The sequence below is a fragment of the Homo sapiens genome, chromosome 12 (assembly GCF_000001405.40).
Source record: "Homo sapiens chromosome 12, GRCh38.p14 Primary Assembly".
Lineage (NCBI taxonomy): Eukaryota > Metazoa > Chordata > Mammalia > Primates > Hominidae > Homo > Homo sapiens.
Window position 1 is genome coordinate 95,167,587 of NC_000012.12, and position 22,942 is coordinate 95,190,528.

Sequence of the window (22,942 nt, forward strand, 5' to 3'; positions counted from 1 at the left end):
TTTTTTGAGATGGAGTCTAGCTCTGTCACCCAGGTTGGACTGCAATGGTGTGATCTCGGCTCACTGCAACCTCCGCAACCCGGGTTCAAGCAATTCTCCTGCCTCAGCCTCCTGAGTAGCTAGGATTACAGGCATGCACCAACACACAGGGCTAATTTTTGTATTTTTAGTAGAGATGGGATTTCACCATGTTGGCCAGACTGGTATCGAACTCCTGACCTCAAGTGATCTGCCCGCCTCGACCTCCCAAAGTGCTGGGATTACAGGTGTGAGCCCCCGCGCCCAGCCAAACCACCGCACTGGGCCTGAGTTGTTACATTTAGGTCTATAATCCATTTTGAGTTAGTTTTTGTGTATGTTGAAAGGAAGGGGGTCCAATGTCATCCTTTTGCAGGTGGATATCCAGTGATTCCAGCACCATTTATATGTTGACAACCTGATTTCTTTAAAAAAAACATTTTGACTTTTTGTATTACACACATTTTTTTTAAGTCACCTGAAGTCAATTGTGAAGTGATACTCGTGTAAATAAACTGACTTTAAAAAATTACTCGACCAAGGTCATACAGTTAGTAAGTGACAAATCTAAGACTAAAACCCAGGTCTTAGGATGCCAAATTTCAAGTTTTCCCATTAAACAAAATACTACCTTACATGTAAATAAGTTTCATATTTACTCATCAAAGATAAGAAAAGCCAAGCCAGAAACAATATATTTATTGGTAAGATTACAGAAAGCTTGATTTGAGATGTTTAAGATTTGGCTTGCTTATTTTCATAAAAATCGTTAATAGCAGCCAGGCGCGGTGGATCACGCCTGTAATCCCGGCACTTTGGGAGGCCAATGTGGGCAGATAACCTGAGGTCAGGAGTTTGAGACCAGCGTGACCAACATGGAGAAACTCCGTCTCTACTAAAAATACAAAATCAGCTGGGTGTAGTGGCGCATGCCTGTAATCCCAGCTACTCAGGAGGCTCAGGCAAGAGAATCACTTGAACCCTGGAAGCAGAGGTTGCAGTGAGCCGAGATCACACCACTGCACTCCAGCCTGGGAGACAAGAGTGAAACTTCATCTTAAAAAAAAAAAAAATCAATAATAGGTAAAAATCTACTAAGCATTCACTTTGTGTTAAGCTCTGTTCTAAACAGTGTATAATCACTTAATAATCACAACAATCTTAGAAAATAAAGTCAAGTGTCCACTTTTTTTCCTCTTCTTTTTACAGATGGGGAAACTAAGGCAAAGTAAAATTAAGTAAGTTGTTCAAGATCACAGAGCTAGTAAGTGGTGGGAACCCAGGCAATCTGACTCCAAAGACCGTGTTCTAACAACTATGAAAGCAAATTACTTAAGAGAAGGGCATTCACCAGGCTGTGGCCAGATGGATTAACAAGTGTCTGGAAAGAAAGAGACTATTCTATTAGTGCTATTGTTGTCTCAGATGAAGAGACAGAAAGAGAAAATTCATTAGCGTGGCTGAGAATTCTAAAGGAGGGAAATTATTAGTACTAGTGGCATCAGGTAAAAAATGTTCAATGTCCATAATTAGGGGTGGAGGGTATTGGGAATATTTAATGGGTACAAAAACACAGTTAGATAGAATGAACAAAATCTAGTATTTGATAGCACAACAGAGTTATTACAGTCAACAATTTATTGTATATTTTAAAATAAGAGTATAATGGGAATGTCTGTAACACAATCACATAAAGGCTTGGTAAATGCTTGAGATGATGAAAAAAATAAATGTACTCTGTTGCACTAAAAACAATGTCCATGATTAACTAAAGAAATAGTCCTTTAAAAAAAAAAAGGATAAAAATTTAACAGGGCTACTGCAATATAGCACAACTAATAACATAAAACAGTAATATAAATACAGGAAGGGAAAGGAAAGGCAGGCACAAACGCAGAGGAAGGAACCCTGGGAGTCTCCACTGCCCACAGAATGAGTGAGTCAACCAGGCGGTGTTATCACAGGATGTGTTGGAAACAGACATAACACTGCTGGGTTAAAGATTAATCCTTCCTTTATACGATGTATCAGTGAGATCCCTGATAGAATGTGGAAACCAATTTTGGTCAGTGCTCCAAGAAGTATGGAAAGAAATGGGAAAAGATTCACGCAAAACAAACAACTAGACCAAAACAATAGAAAAGAGTGTCTGCTAGGAAAAGAAAAAACTTGGGAGTTGCTTTTCAAAGAGAGTCAGGATTGATTTAATTATGGCCCTCAAGAAGACAATTTGAGGCCAGGCGTGGTGGCTCACACCTGTAATCCCAGCACTTTGGGAGGCTGAGGCGGGTGGATCACCTGAGGTCAGTAGTTTAAGACCAGCCTGGCCAACATGGTGAAACTCCTTCTCTATTAAAAATACAAAAATTAGCCAGGTATGGTGGTGGGTGCCCATAATCCCAGCTACTCGGGAGGCTGAGGCAGGAGAATCGCTTGAACCTGGAAGGTGGAGGTTGCAGTGAGCCGAGATAGTGCCACTGCACTCCAGCCTGGGAGACAGAGCAAGACTCCGTCTCAAAAAAAAAGAAGACAATTTGAATGTTCTTCCTCAAATTCTTCACAGGCTTTGGTTCTTTCCAGTCATTTAAATCCCAGGCAAATATCATTTTCTAAGAGGCTTTTTCCCAAAGTACCTTCCTGGGTTTGTAGCACATCACTCTGATTTGTTTCCTTCATAGCTTGTAACACTCTGAAGTTCTTCCTGATTATGATTAAGCACAGTAGGTTCCTCTTATCCTGTTAGAACATAGGCTAGGCCGGGCAGGGTGGCTCATGCCTGTAGTGTTAGCACTTTGGGAGGCCCGAGGTGTGTGGATTACCTGAGGTCAGGAGTTCGAGACCAGCCTGGCCAACATAGTGAAACCCCGTCTCTACTAAAAATACAAAAATTAGCTGGGTATGGTGATGGGTGCCTGTAATTCCAGCTCCTCAGGAGGCTGAGGCAGGAGGATCACTTGAACCCGGGAGGCAGAGGTTGCAGTGAGCCGAGATCGCGCCATTGTACTCCAGCCTGGGCAACAAGAGCGAAACTCCTTCTCAAAAGAAAAGAACGTTGGCTACATAGAAGCTTAGAACCTGAGTACTGCTTATCTCTAGTAAATACCAGTGGTACCTGGAACATAGTGCAAATTCTATAAACATTTGTAGAATCTATGTCCATGAAGCTGCAACATGGAAAACGAGCTTTCAAATTAAAGCAAGACAGACACCAGTAAGACACAAAAGGAATTACTTGATAGTCAAAGTAAAATCTATACATTGCTGAGTGCTGTGGGTCTTTAAGAAGAGAGTCACTCATCTGTCTTAGGGGTTTTACAAATTCACTAGCCTAAGTAATTTATAGTGGTTATTCCCAACACCATGATTTAATACTTCACAGCATAGAAATGAAGTCTGGCTAGTTATAAATAAATGATCACTGAGCTATTATGTGCCGATCAATATTCTAATGCTTTCCATGTATCAGATTATTTAATCTTCACAATTCTATGAGTACTATTCTTTTTTTTATCTATAAAATGGTACTCTTTAGTCCCAAAAGGTTAAATAATTGGCCCAAAGTTGACCAGATCATAGCTGGTGGATCTGGGACTTAAATTCAGACTGCTGCACGTGGGCCATTCATTTAAGCCTGAAGATAAATTTAAACAGGGCAAAAATATTAAACAGGAAGAACAATAGATTGATAAAATTATGGCACAGGAATTAGGCGAAATTATGGCACATGAATTTTCTCCATGGCTTGCTATGCTATGTGGATCTTTTCAAATTCCATATTGCTGTAACATTCCTGGGGATATTGTTGATGTACTAACTTTTTCCCTTTAATAATGTCTCTTAAAAAATGTGGTTTCAAATGAAAGAGATAAATATATTCATGCCAAACTAGAGAGACATTATAATGAACCCCTGCATCATGCATCTTTTTTGAGACGGAGTCTCACTCTGTCACCCAGGCTGGAGTGCAGTGGCGTGATCTCGGCTCACTGCAAGCTCCGCCTCCCGGGTTCACGCCATTCTCCCGCCTCAGCCTCCTGAGTGGCTGGGACTACAGGTGCCCACCACCATGGTCGGCTAATTTTTTGTATTTTTAGTAGAGATGGGGTTTCACTGCATTAGCCAGGATGGTCTTGATCTCCTGACCTCATGATCCACCCCCCTCGGTCTCCCAAAGTGCTGGGATTATAGGTGTGAACCACCGTGCCCAGCCCTCATGCATCTTAAACAACTCTGAACACATAGACAATCTTCATGTATGCTGTGCTCCCCCCAAACTCATACACACACTGGATTATTTCAAAGCAAATGATGATGTACTATTAACAGCCATCTTTATTCTTTCCCAAAATAATTTGAGTCTAAAATGCATATAATTTCTTTATTTCAAAAAAATCTACAAAAAATTGGTAGCAGTACAGGGAACAATTCTAAGGGGGGGGGGGTTGTTATCAAAAAGCAAGCCATTGGACATTAGGAAAAAGAATTTCTTTGCCTGGCACCATGGCTCACGCCTGTAATCCCAGCACTTTGGGAGGCTGAGGCGGGTGGATCACTTGAGGTCAGGAGTTTGAGGCCAGCCTGGCCAACATAGTGAAACCCCGTCTCTACTAAAAACACAAAAATTAGCCAGGCGTGGTGGCAGGTGTCTGTAATGCCAGGCACTTGGGATGCTGAGGCAGGAGGATGGCTTGAACCCGGGAGGTAAAGGTTGCAGTGAGCTGAGATGGCGCCATTGCACTCCAGCCTGGGCAACAGAGCAAGACTCTGTCTCAAAATAATAATTTCTCAAAAATCACTAAGTAATCTCTAAGTGATACATACTTGGTAACATGAGAATATTTTAGGTGCCACATTATAGCAGGAATTAAATTTAAATTTTGAAAGTGTTTTATAAGTTTTAAGAAAACTCACAAGGGTTTCTGTGCCTATTATGCAGACAAATATCATTCCCAAGCATAGGGAGAGGTCAAGAAGCAATTAAGTACCAAAGTATACCTGTTTATCTTCCAGTGGGTCAGGCTCTCCTTTACTTGACTCAGAGCTGACATCATCTTCATCAGAACTGTTGATGATTTCCTCCTCATCAGAGGGAAGGTCACCAAGACCAAGATCATTCTGTTCCTCCTGGGATGCTCCTGAACTGCATTCAACAGAAAGCAGGTATTAGTCACCTTCAATAATAAGAAGTGCTAGCAAAACAAAAACCAAATCAACATCTTATCTTCATAATGCAAACAAGATATATCTAAGGGATGTGGAAGAATGAAAAGACCCAGATCAGCCAACTTTCCCTTCCTTCACCCTGTCTCAGCTGCCAAAAACTCAAATTAATTTTTTGAATTTTTAATGTTAAGAAGGTGGGTGGGAAGCAAGTTTCCCAGCTGCTCCCATCCTATGCTTCTATATATCCCTCCCAAAGAAGATCAGGTCTCTACTCCTAGAATAAACTAAGAAGCTTTACAGAAAGTGAGCTGGTTTACCATAAAAGGCTGCCAGGTATACCAGAAGAATTGCTGTTTCCTTGGGCCTTGGTGTTTAAAACAACAACAAAAAACAAGTAACAAATCTATGAGGACTCGGGGGTAATAATGGTGACGACAATCAACAGTGCAGGTGCAACTGTGAACATGTACCCTGCTCTATGGTTATCACTGTTCTGTTCACAAGACATGGGGAGGAAGAGGAAATGTTACAAATTCTCAGATTATGCTCAAGACCTGCTGCATTAGAACTACGAGGGGCCCAGGGCCCAGCAATTTGCCCAGCAATTACAACTACCTGGGGCACAGGGCCTAGCAAATAATAAGTAAGCTTGTTTAATGCTTTCCAGGTGATTCTGATACAAGCTGAACTTGGAAAACCACAGAGCCAGGCCATTTACCAATTCCTCCTTGCCAGCCTGATATCATCAAGGTTCCTCCGTTTGTTTTAATATAGATCTCATGAATCTAAAAGCCACTGTTGCAATCCAATCTGTGGGGGGAATTCCATAGGAAAGTTCCCTAAGAAGAGATGAAAATAATTCCTTCTAGCATTGGCTGGAAAGATTCAGGAGCCAATTGCCTGTAGCAACTGCTTTTCTGTCGTAAGTCTACAAGAATATCTGCAGAATAGAAGAGTATAGGTGGGGTCAGTAAAAGATCCACAATCATCAGGAAAAACACTCAAGCAGAATAAGGAGACAGTTGCATTCCACTCTGGCAGGCTCTTTCAGCAGGTCACAGGCAGGTCACTCAACAGCCAAGGTTACAAGTTACGAGAATCTCTAATGGGAATCTTAAAAGCTAAAGATAAATTTTCTGCCAGTTCCTGATTACACATGGTAGGATACAGACTTGCCTCAGAAGCCATTCCTGGAGCCCAACTGTTACACAAACCAGCTGGCTGGAGGCACAGTGCCAAAAGGAACACCTCTCACTGCTAAAGACGGGGTTTTCCATTACTCAATGGCTGGGGCCTCTGGGAGTCATATCATAGCCTCGTAAGGTGGGTGCATACTTTATCACAGCTCCCCAAGACATGCAGGAGACTCACTCCCCGGGGGTAAGTGGTGGATAGAGGATAGCAACTTTCTGGTTAGATCACTGGCAGGATTCACTGTCTCTGGGTGCAGGGATAAGAGCCAACCCCGCCGGATAGTTAATTGTTGACTGAGATTAGCGAGAGCAAATGAGAGTTAACAGGGTGGACAGACTATAGGATCCAACCATATAGCTAGAAGAAAAGGTACCCCACCACTTGTTTTTATCGTAATTCCTTATCTCTTTATATCTTCTAAAACCCTGTTAACACAACACATGTTCAATTTCCAATCGGCAGCAGCATCACCTGGAAGCTCCTCAGAAAACACACGCTCAGGCCACCCACAACCCACCGAATCAGGATCCGTGCTGTAACAAAATCCCAGTCTATGTGTGAGAAGCTCTGCTCTAAAAGGCTTTTTGATCCAGCCCATCTGGGTACTGTTTTAGACTCCTAAGTATAATAGATTCAGATAGTTAGTAATAGGGCTGTGGCACCTATGAAGAAATTAGGTTTATTTGGCCAGGCGCGGTGGCTCACGCCTGTAATCCCAGCACTTTGGGAAGCTGAGGCGGGTGGATCACGAGGTCAGGAGATCGAGACCATCCTGGCTAACACGGTGAAACCCCGTCTCTACTAAAAATACAAAATATTAGCCAGGCATGGTGGAGGGCGCCTGTAGTCCCAGCTACTCGGGAGGCTGAGGCAGAGAATGGCGTGAACCCGGGAGGCGGAGCTTGCAGTGAGCCGAGGCTGCACCACTGCACTCCAGCCTGGGCGACAGAGTGAGACTCCATCTCCAAAAAAAAAAAAAAAAAAAAGAAATTAGGTTTATTTTGTCTGAAGAGAGGGGTGAAAGGTGTTTCTTGGTCAAACATCATTTGGAAGGCTATTATTAAGAATATAGTAACTAGGTGTTGCCACATCCATTAGGGATACAAGAGGGATTAAAGTACAAAGTGAACATCTGAAAACAAGAAAAAAGCTTTAAATATTAAAACTACATGAATCAAAACACAATGCCATGAAACAAGGAGAGATTTTGGTGTCTCTTCTGAATCCTTTAACTATCTCACTAAACTGCACTTGGTGGTAGACTTGTTTCCCTCATTAAAATGTAAATTTCCAAAGACAAGGAAATTGAAATTGTGTTTTCCAGCTGAATCCTCACCATACAGCCCAACACACAAGAGACCCTCAAGAATTTTTCACCAAATAAATGAAAATGATATCAGAAAGCAACAGGTGTTGAATTTTAATGGTGCAGGTGGCCTGAACCAGGGTGGCTACATCAGGAATTGAGAGAAAGGGATGGATGTAAGAGGAAGAAAAATCAGGGCCGGGTATGGTGGCTCACACCTGTAATCCCAGCACTTTGGGAGGCCAAAGTGGGTGGATGGCTTGAGCCCAGGAGTTTGAGACAAGCCTGGCCAACAGAGCTAAACCTGTCTCTACTAAAAATACAAAATTTAGCCGGGTGCAGTGGCATGTGCCTGTAATCCCAGCTACTAGAGAGACTGAGGCAGAAGAATCACTGGAACTCAAGAGGCAGAGGTTGCAGTACTCAGGAGGCTGAGGTAGGAGAATCGCTTGAACCAGGGAGGTGGAGGTTGCAGTGAGCCAAGACTATGTCACTGCACTCCAGCCTGGGTAACAGAGTGAGACTCTGTCTCAAAAAAAAAAAAAAAAAAAAGAAAAAAAAAAAGAAAAATCACCAGGACTTAGGGTAAAGGGGTGAGGAGGAAAAACTTATGGAAGACATCAAGGTGTCAAGTCCAAGTCACAAGCAGAATGAGGGTGACATGAACTGAAACAAATGTTAAAACAAGGGAGCAGATTTTAAAGGAAAGATAATGGTTTAGCAGCAAAATCTAGGATCCACATTTTACATGTTCATTTCTAAAACAATTACTCTATTTTCCCAAACAACTGTTGTCAGCTTCTGAATCTACCTAGATAATTTTAGATTTCTATTTTTATTTTTTTGAAAAAATAGACAAGGGTCTTGCTGTGTTGCCCAGGCTGATCTCAAACTCCCAGGCTCAAGCAATCCTCCCACCTCAGTCTTGCCAAAGTGCTGGGATTACAGGCATGAGCCACCATATGCAGCCAATTTTAGATTTCTGATAATGAAACAAGGACTCCTTACTAATGCCAATTGTATAGTTTGGAGTTCTGTTTATTTCCTTCCCACTGTCCGAATGATAACATCCTAAGACTGTCTGCTTTGTGGGGTAAAGGAACAGGACATAGGGCTTCCTCCACGTCTTTCTGCCTAGTTAGTTCATAATTTGATATCTGAAGTAAAAGGAAAGTAAGCTCCAACAGCAACCAGAACAAAGAGTGGGCTCTACTTCCCCAAGCACCCTAAGTCAGATTTGCTTCTGCAAGAAGCCACAGTTTCTAGAAAATCAGTTTGTTTCCAGTGCACTGGAATTAAGACAAACAAGTAAAGCCAGACTTAAATTCCTACTGATGGGTAACTGTTTCCTTCAATTCCACATGCTAACATCTACACATCTGAAGTGAAGACTACATGATGCCATCACTTTTTAAAAGTTATTTTTTTCTATATGCTAGTTTCTATATATTTACAGCACACCTCCACTGGAAGTATATCAAATTTTTCTTTCAGGTAATAAGTCACAACTAAAGTGAAGTCCTTCTCTTTTAGAAGGAATTATCTTTTAAAATTTTAATTTATTTTATTATTATTTTTTGAGATGGAGTCTCACTCTGTCACCCAGGCTGGAGTGCAGTGGTGTGATCTCAGCTCACTGCAACCTCGCCTCCCTAGTTCAAGCGATTCTCCCATCTCAGCCTCCTGAGTAGCTGAGACTATAGGTGTACGCCACCATGCCCAGCTAATTTTTGTATTTTTAGTAGAGACGGGGTTTCACCATGTTGGCCAGGCTGGTCTTGAACTCCTGGCCTCAGGTGATCTGCCTGCCTCAGCCTCCCAAAATGCTGGGATTACAGGCATGAGCCACCATGCCCAGTGGAATTATCTTTTTTAAAAATACTAAATCCATTTCCTCTAAGAGTTTTTAGGAACAGAAAACCTGTACAATGATAAGCCAGCATAGCAACTGCCAGGTTCACCAAAAAACATCCTTCTGAGCCCCTACTAAATTAAAAATTCCAGCAAGGAGAAGGGATAAGGGATCGGATGGCCGAGAGAAGGAAAGGAAAAGCTGAGTTAAGAATGGCTTCTCTGTTGTTGACAAATTCCAGCTATCTTTTTCTTCTTTTGCCTGTGGTTTTATTCTGAGCCCCTTTACCAAGGAATGTTTCATGTAATTCCTCCCAAGCTTGAAGAAAGAAGTTCTTTCCAATTCCCTCACCTTCAGAAGTTTCTTTCTTATTTCCAAGTCACCACATGTAAATCTCAACTTCTGTGGTCTTTCTCTTCCTCTTCTTTCTACTCCTGGCCCAAACTGAACAGAAACCTGCTTGTCCTCAGGATGTTGTGATAATTTTTTTTCAAATGCTGTCTCATTATGACTTGGTGATTATGTGTTTCCTTTGGCACATTTCATATTTATCACAGAATGAGGGGAAAAAAACTACCATTATGGGCTTTAAATTAGCAAAATAAATTTCAAGTTATTTAGTAGTTATTATAGCACACTAACTATAAAATTGGTATACAATTTTCACCAAAAAATTATTTCTATTTTGTTTTACCAGGAAACATTTCCTTCTGTTACTTCAGTTCCCTTATAGGACTGCAGATTCCACTGTCACAGTAAAACCATGAATCAAATCAATTTTAAACAACAATTTATTTATTTATTTATTTATTTATTTATTTATTGGTACAGACAGGGTCTCTCCCTACATTGCCCAGGCTGCTCTTGAACTCCTGGCCTCAAATGAACCTCCTGCCTTGGCCTCCCAAAGTGCTGGGATGACAGCATGAGCCACCGTGCCTAAAAAAAACTATTTAAAAAATCCTTCTTACTCTCCTTTTCAGGTCTTCTCAATTACACAGCAATTCTAGAATTTTCTCCATCCCTTACTCAAGTAATGTTCTTGAGGTCTACCACCAAAATGAGTTTGGAAACATGGCACGACTTGTGAAATAGGCATAGTTGGCCATTTGCATCCTCCAAAAAGCAACCGTCACGTATGCACATCATGTTTTTAGGTTTTTCAAACACAAGATGGTGCACAATTATTTTAAGTATGTGCAGAGCCAGGTGACAGGACTGAACAAATATCAAGTTCAACCAGTGTGACTCCTGAGTGCTGGTAGGTAAAGTAGGTAAACTAGGTAAACCAGATCAACTAGTAGGTCTTTCTCCACTCCTAACTGCTTTCACAAAAAAGAAACATCAATGCTTCAGTAATACGTAAGGCTATGGATGCTGATGTTCTTATTGAATAAGTATAATAGCAGAAATCCTTCCCCCTGAAAGAAAAGGACATCTATCAATTTTTTTATGTCCTTGCATTATAAAGGTATCAAATATATTGATTTTTAATCTTCTCTTCGAGAGGTTGCTTGATTAAAGGTTAAGACAAATTTTAATTTAAAAATTAATGATTTTATTATCTCAATTTCAGTTTTTAAAATCCTATAATGTATATATGTAGTGTATAAACTTTTTGAGTTAAATTCTTTAGTATTCACAAAATAAAAATAAATAAAATCACTAAAATACTTAAAGGGACAGTACCACAGAATTTTGTTACTTAAAGATAGAAAAAATGAATAAACAAAGAAACTTACAACATAAAATGTACACGATCAGTGTTTTATTTTTTCATTCTTAAGTTTTAGAGGTTTTAACAACTGAGCCTTTCAAACTAGCAAGCTAGGGTTCTATGGCTTCAAAAAAAAAGAAATCACACAAAAATATCCAGCTTCCCTGAAATATAAACCAGAAACTGTTTAAAACTGTCTCTGGGTGACTCTGTTAGGGTAAAATGCCAGGCTTCAAATGATGGATATTTTTTAAAAACAGGCTTGCTTCATTTTCCAGAAGCAACCTCCACCTTTGCGAATACCATTACTATCACCTTCCCCCAAGTAATTACGAGGATTCTTAGAATTGTATGCTACTGACTAAAGACATAATCAGAGCCGGGGTGGTGACTGATGTCTGTAATCCCAGCACTCTGGGAGGCTGTGGGGGGTGGGGGTGATTGCTTGGGCCTAGGAGTTCGAGACCGGCCTGGGCAACACAGGGAGAGACCCCATTTCTATGAAAAAAAAAAAAAATTGCATGGTGGTATGTGCCTGTGGTCCTAGCTACCTAGCTACTTGGGAGGCTGAGGTGGGAGGATCACTTGAGCCCAAGAGGTCGAGGCTGCCTTGAGCCACAATTATGACCTTGCACTCCAGCAGGTGAGGGACCAAGACCTTGTCTCATAAATAAATAAATAAGACCAAAATCATAATCAGTACCTTGAGGCTGCTATTTAAAATACAGTCCTCACAAGACAACTCTGAAAATTGTTTAAAAAACAAATAGAATGCAAAATTCTTTAAAATAGAAGAGTACCTACCCATATGCTTGCAACTTTTATATGTAATTGGCTTTAAAGTCATTCATTAAGATTTAACATAAAGAAGCAGTCTTAAAGGGATCTTCCTTCAATAGCCATTAAAAAAAGACCGGTTAAATAAATTGGGGTTATACATTCATATAATGAATTACTAAACAGTTATTTAATTTGTTTAGTAATTACTAAACAGTTATTTAACAGGCTAAGGCAGGTGGATCACCTTAGGTAGGAAATTTGAGACCAGCCTGACCAACATGGAGAAACCCCATCTCTACTAAAAATACAAAATTAGCCAGGCGTGGTGGCACATACCTGTAATCCCAGCTACACGGGAGGCTGAGGCAGGAGAACTGCTTGAACCTGGGAGGCCAAGGTTGCGGTCAGCTGAGATCCTGCCATTGCACTCCAGCCTGGGCAATAAGAGCGAAACTCTGCCTCCAAAAAAAAAAAAAAGGAGGTAGATCTATGCACAGTGGCATAGATCATTCTCCAGGAAATATTGTTAGGTTAAAAAGAAATCAAGGCACAGAGTGTGCTCCTATTTGTGTAGAGAAGCAAAAAGAAGAGTACATATACACAAAACCATGTAAAAAGTGTGTATATTTGTGTGTGTGTGTGTGCACAAACATGCTGACATATACCAGGCTGTCCCCGAACACATTCAGAAAAACTGATAAATATAGTTGAAGTACAGTTGCCTCTGGGACTAAAGTCCTGAGAATAAAAGACAGATTTTTTTTTTTTTTTTTTTTTGAGACAGGGGCTTGCTCTGTCACCCAGGCTGGAGTGCACACCCAGGTTAGAGTGCAGTGGTGTGATCACAGCTCACCGTAACTTCTGTCTCCCAGACTCAGTGATCCTCCAGCCTCAGGCTCCCAGGCACTTGGGACAACAGGTGCGTGCCACCACACCTGGCTAATTTTCGTATTTTTTCTTTTGTAGAGACTGGGTTTTGCCATGTTGCCAAGGATGGGCTCAAACTCCTAGGCTCAAGTGATCTGCCTGCCTCAGCCTCCCAAAGTGCTAGGTGTGAGCCACCACTCCTGGCTGAGAGATTTTATTATTTGCCCTTCAGTACATTTTTAAAAGTTGTTATCACGTGCATTTTTACTTTTTCAAAGTTGACCACCCCCCCGACACACACAGAGTCTGAAAAGCTTCATAAAAGGTGGTTCAAAGCATATATGTATTTATACATATATACACATATTTTTATATGTATATAAACTCTTTAGGGATAGTTTATTTTCTTCCCAGGATGATGAGATTAAAGATATTTTCTCCTGTTCTTTCCCTTTCTCCCCCAACCCCCAGACTTGGAGGTCTGTGTAAACATTTTCAGGATTGCCGTTTCAAAAAAAAAAGAAAAAATCTCTTTTAACTATTGCTTAAGTTGTTAAGATATATAAATTACGGCTTTCCCTTACTGCCGAGAGGGGTTTGTTTGGGAGAACCTTAAGTCTAAGTCTCTAAATAATAGGTAGGAAGGGGAGATCTGGCTAGCCAGTTGATAGCTTTAAAAAAGAAAAAAAGAAGTCAGTAGAGGGATGTTCAACAGCCTGCAGGGCCCACAGAGTAACCACACAACTTGTTGACTACGTCACAGTGAACAGCAACATAATAATAGGGTCCGTCTCCCATAGTTCTCCATTTGGTTGTGGGAGAGCTTCCTGACCTGCAAGTAAAGATGATCATGTGCTTCAGGGTTCCTGGTCCTATCTTAATGACACAGGAGGAGCCCCATGGTGACAAGAGTCCAACAGACACTCTTGGCCATCTAGCTTAGCTGGGAGGCATCCAGGTCAAACTTAGCTAGAAGGAATCCAGGTCTAGCTAGAAAGGAATAAATTGTTACAAAAATGTCTCCTGAAACAAGCACTACATAAAATAAATCTGCAACATTTAATTACCATCAATTTTGCTTTCTTAGAATTGGGATTCACATCACGAAATGTGGACAACTTTCTTGTTAATACAAATAGAAAAGCATTCTGAGCTTGAGGTTGCCTCCAATAAAATATGGCAAGTTCCAGTTGGGCACAGTGGCTCACGCCTGTAATCCCAACACTTTGGGAGGCTGAGGCAGGCAGATCACAAGGTCAGGAGATCAAGACCATCCTGGCTAATGCAGTGAAACTCCATCTCTACTAAAAATACAAAAAAATTAGCTGGGCGTGGTGGCGGGCGCCTGTAGTCCCAGCTACTCAGGAGGCTGAGGCAGGAGAATGGCGAGGCAGAGCTTGCAGTGAGCTGAGATCACGCCACTGCACTCCAGCCTGAGAGACACAGCGAGATTCTCTCAAAAAAAAAAAAAAAACAAAGGCAAGTTCCCAATCCAATTCCATCATTGCACCAAAGATGATGTTTCTCTTATTGAAAACGAAAAAGTTTTAAGACAAAGTTAGAGTTGACTTAGTATCATTTCTCCCCTTCACATCCTCATTATGTAATATACTGTCTGTTCCTACTTGATGCCAGAAAAAATAAAGGCCATTAGAAATAAATAATGAGGTTGGGATGGCTACAAGAGAATACTTCACAGTTGCATACACATATTTACACATATATATGTATACATACTTTTTTTTTTTTTTTTTGGAGATGGAAGCTGGAGTGTAGTGGCATGATCTTGGCTCACTGCAACCTCTGCCACCCAGGTTCAAGTGATTTTCCTGCCTCAGGCTCCAGAGTAGCTGGGACTACAGGTGCCCCACCACGCCCGGCTAATTTTTGTATTTTTAGTAGAGACTGGGTTTCACTATGCTGGCCAGGCTGGTGTCGGACTCCTGACCTCAGGTGATCCACCTGCCTTGGCCTCCCAAAGTGCTGGGATTACAGGTGTGAGCCACCTTGCCCAGCCTATACATACATTTTTAAAAATACTTTTGTAATACTTAGAATATATAAAAATGGTGATGCCATTTATTTCAGTAAACATTTATCGAGGGCCTACTATGTTTCATTTACTATTTTAGGAGGCAGATGAAGATAATATTGAATTAGTTACAATGTTCAAACTACAAATTCTATTGACTGCTTCTCTTTATTTTCCTACTGAGACCTTCTTAAACAGATGAAGGCAGAAGGGATTGAGATAACCACAGTAATTTAAGACAAAGGAAAGAACCACTTTCTAAAAAGAGACAACTTGGCTGGGCACAGTGGCTCACGCCTGTAATCCCAACTACTCGAGAGGGGCAAGACTGGTTAGTAAGTTAGTAGAAAAAACAGCTCATCCTTTGACTACCTTCTCTAACAGGGTGACCACTTTGTCCTGGTGTCAGCTGTACACACCCCTTTGCTTCCTCTAAGGTCTTGTCATCATAATCCTAACAGCCACTGAAAAGGTGGCGAGCCTTTTGGAAAATATGACTACTCCGCCTGGCCACGCTATGCTCTTGATTGTGAGTCAGCACAAAACCATTGCGGTGCAAGGCTGAAAATTAAGGCCCAATATTATGCTCTGCCTTGACATCTGGGGAAAATCAGAAGGGCTCCAAATGGTCTCACTACACACTGCCCTTCCCACTATGCTTCTGCTGATAAAGTCCCCTGGCCACCCTCTTAGTCACAAGGACCAGGTGCAGTGTCTGCCTAGCCCTGAGAAGTGGGTTTTAGTTCCCTGCCAGTCAGCAGAGAGTCATTTAAACAAGCCAATCACATCCTCTCATGGGAACCAGGAGTGACCCCCACCCTCTTGTATACAGCCTGCCTCCCGCAACCCCTAGTTGTTCCTGAGTACAGGCCTGGGTGGCCAGGTGTGGCATGCTGTGCCCTCCTCTAGGCTGGGACTACATGTGAATGAGAAACTGCTGTTGATCTCACCCGTCCAGTGTCGAGCATCAGGATTCAGCCATTCCCGTAACCCTAAGCAGAAATCCCTCCCTCACTAACGGGGTGAAGAGGAGGTAATTCAAACAACCTCCAAGGCCAGGAGCGGTGGTTCCCAGCAATTTAGGAGGCCAAGGCAGGAGGATCATTTGAACCCAGGAGTTTGAGATCAGCCTAGGCAACACATGGAGATCCCATCTCTACAAAACATAAAAAATTAGCCAAGTATGGGGGTGAACACCTGTGGTCCCAGCTACCTGGGAGGATGAGATGGGAGGATGGCTTGAACCCACAAGTTTGAAGCTGCAGAGAGCAGTGATTGTGCCACTGCACTCAGGCTGGGTGACAGAGCAAGAACCTGTCTCAAACAACAAAAACAACAACAAAACAACCTCCAAAAAAGGTGCCATTGTCTGGGATCGCGAGGTACAAAGCAGGTGCACTGGCAGATTTTAATAAGATTATCCTGAGAAATTACATTGAGAGGTGTACAAAGTCAGCTTTGTGTTTACCTAAGTATATTTTGCATATACATCTAGACTCTGCCATGATACACTCAAGCAATTTTCAAGTTAAAGGCATTAACTTACATGTTCCAGAAATGTGGCATATTCCATGTTACAGAATGCTAAATGTTACATTATATACAGACCCCACTATAATGAAAGGGTAGGGGAATTACAAGGAAACCAATAGCCAAAACCAAAGGACTTCTGCAATCATTCCCAGATGTTATTTTATCTAAACCTATTTAAGTGTATCAGTTTCCAATAGGAACTACAATCATATCTGGGATTTCCCACTAACATGGGGGAAAAGGATCAAAGGCTTCTTGGGAGCCCATGAGGAGCCACAGAGGGGGAGGTTAGTCATTGCTCAAGAATAAATCTGTCTACTTCCTTATTTAAAACTATATACAAGTAAGCCTATTTGCCATCTTTCTTCTTCAGATTCTATTCACACAAATGATATGTCTTCAAGGTCTACTCTAGACCAGTTATAAACCATCAATAACCCCCCAAAACCATAAGGAACCCACATCTTTCTGAGACAGCACCCTGGGGAAGCTGTAGAGGGTGTCAGGAAAAGACATGGATTTCTTCCTGCACGTTTTTTTTTTTTTTTTGAGATGGAGTCTTGCTCTGTCGCCCAGGCTGTAGTGCAGTGGTGCGCGATCTTGGCTCACTGCAACCTCCGCCTCCCAGGTTCAAGCGATTCTCGCGCCTCAGCCTCCTGAGTAGCTGGGATTACAGGTGTCCACCACCAAGCCCAACTAATTTTTTATATTTTTAGTGGAGATGGGGTTTCGCCATGTTGGCCAAGCTGGTCTCAAACTCCTGACCTCAAGTGATTTGCCCGCCTTGGCCTCCCAAAGTGCTGGGATTACAGGCAGGAGCCACCACACTCAGCCTTTTTTTTTGAGACGGAGTCTCACTCTGTCATCCAGACTGGAGTGCAGTGGTGCGATCTTGGCTTACTGCAACCTCCGCCTCCCAGGTTCAAGCAATTCACTTGCCTCAGCCTCACAAGGAGCTGGGATGACAGGCGCCAGCCACCATGCCCAGCTAATTTTTGTATTTTTAGTAGAGACAGGGTTTCACCATGTTGGCCAGGCTGGTCTTGAACTCCTGACCTCAAGTGATCTGCCTGCCTCGGCCTCCCAAAGTGCTGGGATTATAGGTGTGAGCACCCGGGCCCTTCTTCCACTCTTAATCCCACGCATCAGTGAGTCCTTACACCAGTTACATTGCTGACTAGTTCTGTGTTTATTTTTAGCTTCTTTGATTGGGAAACCAAAAAAAATCACTACTTTTCTATCAAACTCAGATTACATCTTCGAAAGCGAGAGTCAGGGAAAATGGAAGGGAAGTGAAAATAAACGTGTATTCAAGTAAAATAAACATTCGCTTCTGACAGGATCACAAACATTTATCACAGTTTCATACATTTCTACGAGGGAAGGAAAGGCAGCAGAGAAGAAAAAAAAAATGCTCTTTCAGCCTAAGAGACCTGCATTTGAAGGCAGGGTCCACCACTCATGGCTGTGTGTAACTGGCTAGTTAATTGGACTAAGTTTACATTTCCCTATACTATAAAATTGAGATAATAGGCCGGGCGCAGTGGCTTACGCCTGTAATCCCAGCATTTTGGGAGGCTGAGGCAGGAGGATCATGAGGTCAGGAGTTCGAGACCAGCCTGGTCAACATGGCGAAACCTCGTCTCTTCTAAAAATACAAAAATTAGCCAGGCATGGTGGTGCGCACCTGTAATCCCGGCTACTCAGGAGGCTGAGGCAGAAGAATTGCTTGAACCTGGGAGGCAGAGGTTGCAGTTAGCTGAGATTGCACCATTGCACTCCAGCCTGGGCAACAGCGCAAGACTCCATCTCAAAAATAAAAATAAAAATTGAGATAACATACCACCTGCAATGAAGATTAAATGAGATAATGTGAATATATCTGTTATATGCAATGGACAGGAAATAAAGACAGCTTTTTAAAAAGCAGGCATGAGAAAGGGGACAACATCATAGTTCATCCAGTAAGCAGAATGGCAAGAGGAACTGAAAGTTGTTCTTGTTCCCCCTAGAAATCCCAAAATGTAGTATAATACCTTTCTTGCATGAATGTATTAACAAATGAATGGATTCCATCCTAATATCTCACACATACATAGTATAGTATGATTAGGCAAATCTAACCTGCTGCCTGTTTTTGTAAGGTCTATGAGCTAAGAATGCTTCTTATATTCTTCTTCTTTTTTTTTTTTTTTTTTTTTTTTTTTTTTTTTTTTTTGAGACGGAGTCTTGCTGGGTCACCCAGGCTGGAGTGTAGTGGCACAATCTCGGCTTACTGCAACCTCTGCCTCCTGGGTTCAAGCAATTCTCCTGCCTCAGCCTTCCAAGCAGTAGAGATGGGGTTTTGCTATCTTGGCCAGTCTGATCTTGAACTCCTGACCTTAAGTGATCCTCCTGCCTCAGCCTCCCAAAGTGCTGGGATTATAGGCATGAGCCACTGTGCCCAGCCTGGCTCTTATATTCTTAAATCATGAAAAAAAAAAAAAAAGAACAATATTTTGTGACACATGAAAATGATTTTCATGTCCATAATGAAGTTTTATTGGAAAACATCCATGCTCATTTGTTTCTGTACTATCTGTCACTGCTTTTGCACTACATTGGCAGAGCTGAAGAGATGCAACAGAGACCTATGGCCTGCAAAGTCTAAAATATTTATCATCTGGCCCTTTACGGAAAACGTTTGCTGATCCTTGGTACAGCAGATTACCCAAAAGAAGCAGTATATTTCCTTTGGGGCAAAACTGCCTGTGTTCGAATCCGAGTTCTGCCACATACTAAGTAGGTGAAATTGAGTCAGTTTTTAACCTCTCCGTGCCTCAGTTTTTCCTCCATAAAATGAGGATCATAATATTGCCTACCTGACAGAATTTTGTGGGGATTAAACAAATTAATACAAGCAATGCACTAACAATGCCTGGTACACAGAAAGCTCGTTTGCTCACTCACTGTTTCTCTTGTATATACTTAAAAGTCTAGAACTGTATAAAAAGTGACTTCAGGCCGGGCATAGTGGCTCATGCCTGTAATCCCAGAACTTTGGGATGCCGAGGCGGGCAGATCATGAGGTTAGGAGATCGAGACCATCCTGGCTAATACGGTGAAACCCCATCTCTACTAAAAATATAAAAAATTAGCTGGTCGTGGTGGCAGGCGCCTGTAGTCCCAACTACTCGGAAGGCTGAGGCAGGAGAATGGCATGAACCCAGGAGGCGGAGCTTGCAGTGAGCCGAGATCGTGCCACTGCACTCCAGCCTGGGAGACAGTGCAAGACTCCATTTCAAAAAAAAAAAAAACAAGTTACTTCAGGCTGGGCGTGGTGGCTCATGCCTGTAATCCCAACACTTTGGGAGGCCGAGGCGGGCAGATCATGAGGTGGGCAGATCATGAGGTCAGCAGATCGAGACCAGCATGGCCAATATGGTGAAACCCCGTCTCTACTAAAAATACAAAGATTAGCCAGGCATGGTGGCATGCATCTGTAATCCCAGCTACTTGGGAGGCTGAGGCAGGAGAATCACTTGAACCTGGGAGGCGGAGGTTCCAGTGAGCCAAGATTGCGCCACTCACTCCAGCCTGGGTGACTGAGCGAGGCTGCGTCCCCAAAAAAAAAACAAAAAAAAAAAAGTGACTTCAGAGAGGAGCTTCTGCATTATCAATCATGTGAAACAGCTCATCACCAGCTTAAAGGTCTGAGTCAAGAACTCCTACAGTGAGGTCATGTGAGCCACGGTTTTGCAGCAGGTTACTCCTAGAGCTCATTTTCCATGTTTAATTTCACTACTTATTTTTGGTAGCTTACTACTTGTACAGTAATATCCTGAAGCTCAGAATAACTACAGTTTCATGCATATCTCAATATTCTTTCTTATTTCTAAAACAATTTTAGTCACATATAATGACGAATTCACAGGTATTCCACTAGATCTCAAAGTACCTTTTCAAGTATGTTTTGAAAAGCTGGCTTTGTCCCTCTTTGCTTAATAATGATCACATTGATGCGACAAAGGCCAAGGTGGCCGATGAATGACACTGATAAGCATACCTCACGTATGCAATAAAGTTGCTGATTTCTCTAGTAATGTAAACTTCATTTTGCAATATAAAGCAAAGAGTCCTATTTCTTTTCTAAATGGAAATTTTCATATTGCACTGAACTAGAAAAAGCCCAGTAGAATGCAATTTCAAAACAGTGATCACTTGCTCTGAGCTACTAGCTGAAGGCACAGAAAAAAAATGGGGAGAAGAGGGAAGCAGAAGAAATGAAGAAACCAGAAAACAGTAAGTAAGGCAAGGTAAAGGAGAGAAATAAGCAGATGGGCAAAGCACCATCCGTGTGTGTGTGTGTGTAGAGGACATGTTACCACAGACACAGGAGAAGGAAGACAAGGTTCCTGCCCTGGGGAAAATGGAGCTGTCAGCCTTTGTCTTTCTCATGTACCTCAAAGATAACAATAACCTCATAGGGACAGAGTTTACTCCTAAACTTTCCACTTATTCTAAAACTTTCCATGTGAAAAATCAAAACAAACAAAACCCCCAAAACCTTATCTCTCCAGTGGAACGGAGGTGGATAAAGAGAAGAAAAGGAGGGAGGATTTTACTTTTCACTTCATGTACATTTAACTTTTTTTAAGACAACAATTTTATATAACTTTTATAACTAAACAAATACGTAAAGAACTGAAAATCCCCATTCTCTCTTCTCCAAGTTTACTAATCTCAGTTATTTCAAGTATTCCTTAAAAACAACTTTTTTTTTTTTTAATACTTGGTAAGGAAAGGTCAAAGGTAAAGCAGGCAGAGAGGATGAATTAGAGAAAGCTATCCCCATCTGCTCTTCCCACAAAATGCAAAGAAAGAAAAGAAAAAAATCTGGACATGTTGACATGTGGATTACAGCAATAGTTTTTGGTCTACTTCATGTAGATAATCTCAAAATGAATTCTCTAATTCCCTAGACCACTCCCCGCTCTGAAAATAATAAATTCCCTGTACTTTGTAAGGTAAACCCAGTGAACAAAGAATATTTTCACCCTGGGCATCAGGAAATTATGTATAGCAAAATGGAAGCTTCTATACACCCCCACACCCGTGTTCACAGTCACAGATTTTACTTAACAGAACCCATCCACAGGGTATTAGCTGCATAGCCAGCACAGATATTTACTGGGGCCAAGATTTCAAAGACCAGGCAGAGAAGACATTAATTTGTAGAGTACAAAAGAGCACACAAAAAATGTTTTTGCTTCTTAACACTGTGAGGGCTCAATAAGAATTAAAGCTGCTTAGAATCACTGCTATCAAGAGTCAATCTAGCTGGGTGCAGTGGCTCACGTCTGTAATCCCAGCACTTTGGGAAGCCGATGAGGGAGGATCGCTTGAGCCCAGAGTTCGAGACCAGCCTTGGCAACATGGTGAAGCCCCATCTCTGCAAACAAATACAAAAATTAGCTGGGTGTGGTGCCGTGGGCCTGTAGTCCCAGCTACTTGGGAAGATGAAGTGGGAGGATCACCTAAGTCTGGGAGGTTGAGGCTGCAGTGAGCTGTGATCTTGCCACTGCACTCCAACCTGGGTTGACAGAGCGAGACCCTGTTTCATAGGAAAAAAAAAAAAAAAAAAAGAATCTAGTAAGGTCATATTCAAGAAAAGGAGAAGCATCAACAGTTAATCAAGTAACCACTGGGTATAAAAACATACTTAAACTAATTTTACCATCAAAAAAACCTCCTAACCTAGCTAGAGCTAATATATTTGCTTATTTTCACAGTATTTAAGTTTTGCCCTACAGAAAGATTTCACAGAGTATTTTAAAAAGACAAAATGGATTTCCTTAATAGTAATAGAAAACTTTCACCTTTCAGATCTTTAATATTCTTCGCTTGTTAGTACTAACTTTCATTGTAAAAGTTCCTTTTATATTCAAATATGGTGCTCCACACACAGTGAATGTGCAGTAAGTACCTGTTAACTAGAAAGAGTATTTAATACATTGAGAAAAGATGTACTATATTAAATAGTTTTCAGTTTGTCTTTACAAATCCTTTAAGCATTTTACCTGCCTTCTAACAGCTAAGACATGGGATTTTATCTGTTGTACAGTAGGAATAAAAAGATAAGATGTTTTCTTTTGTTTTTGAAATGGAGTCTTGCTCTGTCGCTCAGGCTGGAGTGCAATGGCACAATCTCGGCTCACTGCAACCTCCGCCTCCAGGGTTCAAGTGATTATCCTGCTTCAGCCTCCCGAGTAGCTGAGATTACAGGCGGCCACCACTGCGCCCGGCTACTTTTTATATTTTTAGTAGGGACAGGATTTCGTCATGTTGGCTAGGCTGGTTTCGAACTCCTGACCTCAGGTGATCTGCCTGCCTCGGCCTCCCAAAGTGCTGGGATTATAGGTGTGAGCCACTGCACCTGGCCAAGATGTTTTCTTAAATTAATATTTTTCTAAAAGATTTTATAGCTCTTAGGTAATACTC

General features: G+C 41.7%; 1 protein-coding gene across 1 annotated transcript in view; it reads right to left on the reverse strand.

Annotated features, from left to right (window-relative positions):
• Positions 1-22,942, reverse strand: part of FGD6 (FYVE, RhoGEF and PH domain containing 6) — a 140,719-nt gene that overhangs the window by 90,838 nt on the left and 26,939 nt on the right. The window contains exon 3 of the mRNA NM_018351.4: positions 5,014-5,158. Coding sequence (NP_060821.3) covers positions 5,014-5,158 — 145 coding nt within the window. The remainder of the gene's footprint in view (positions 1-5,013; positions 5,159-22,942) is intronic.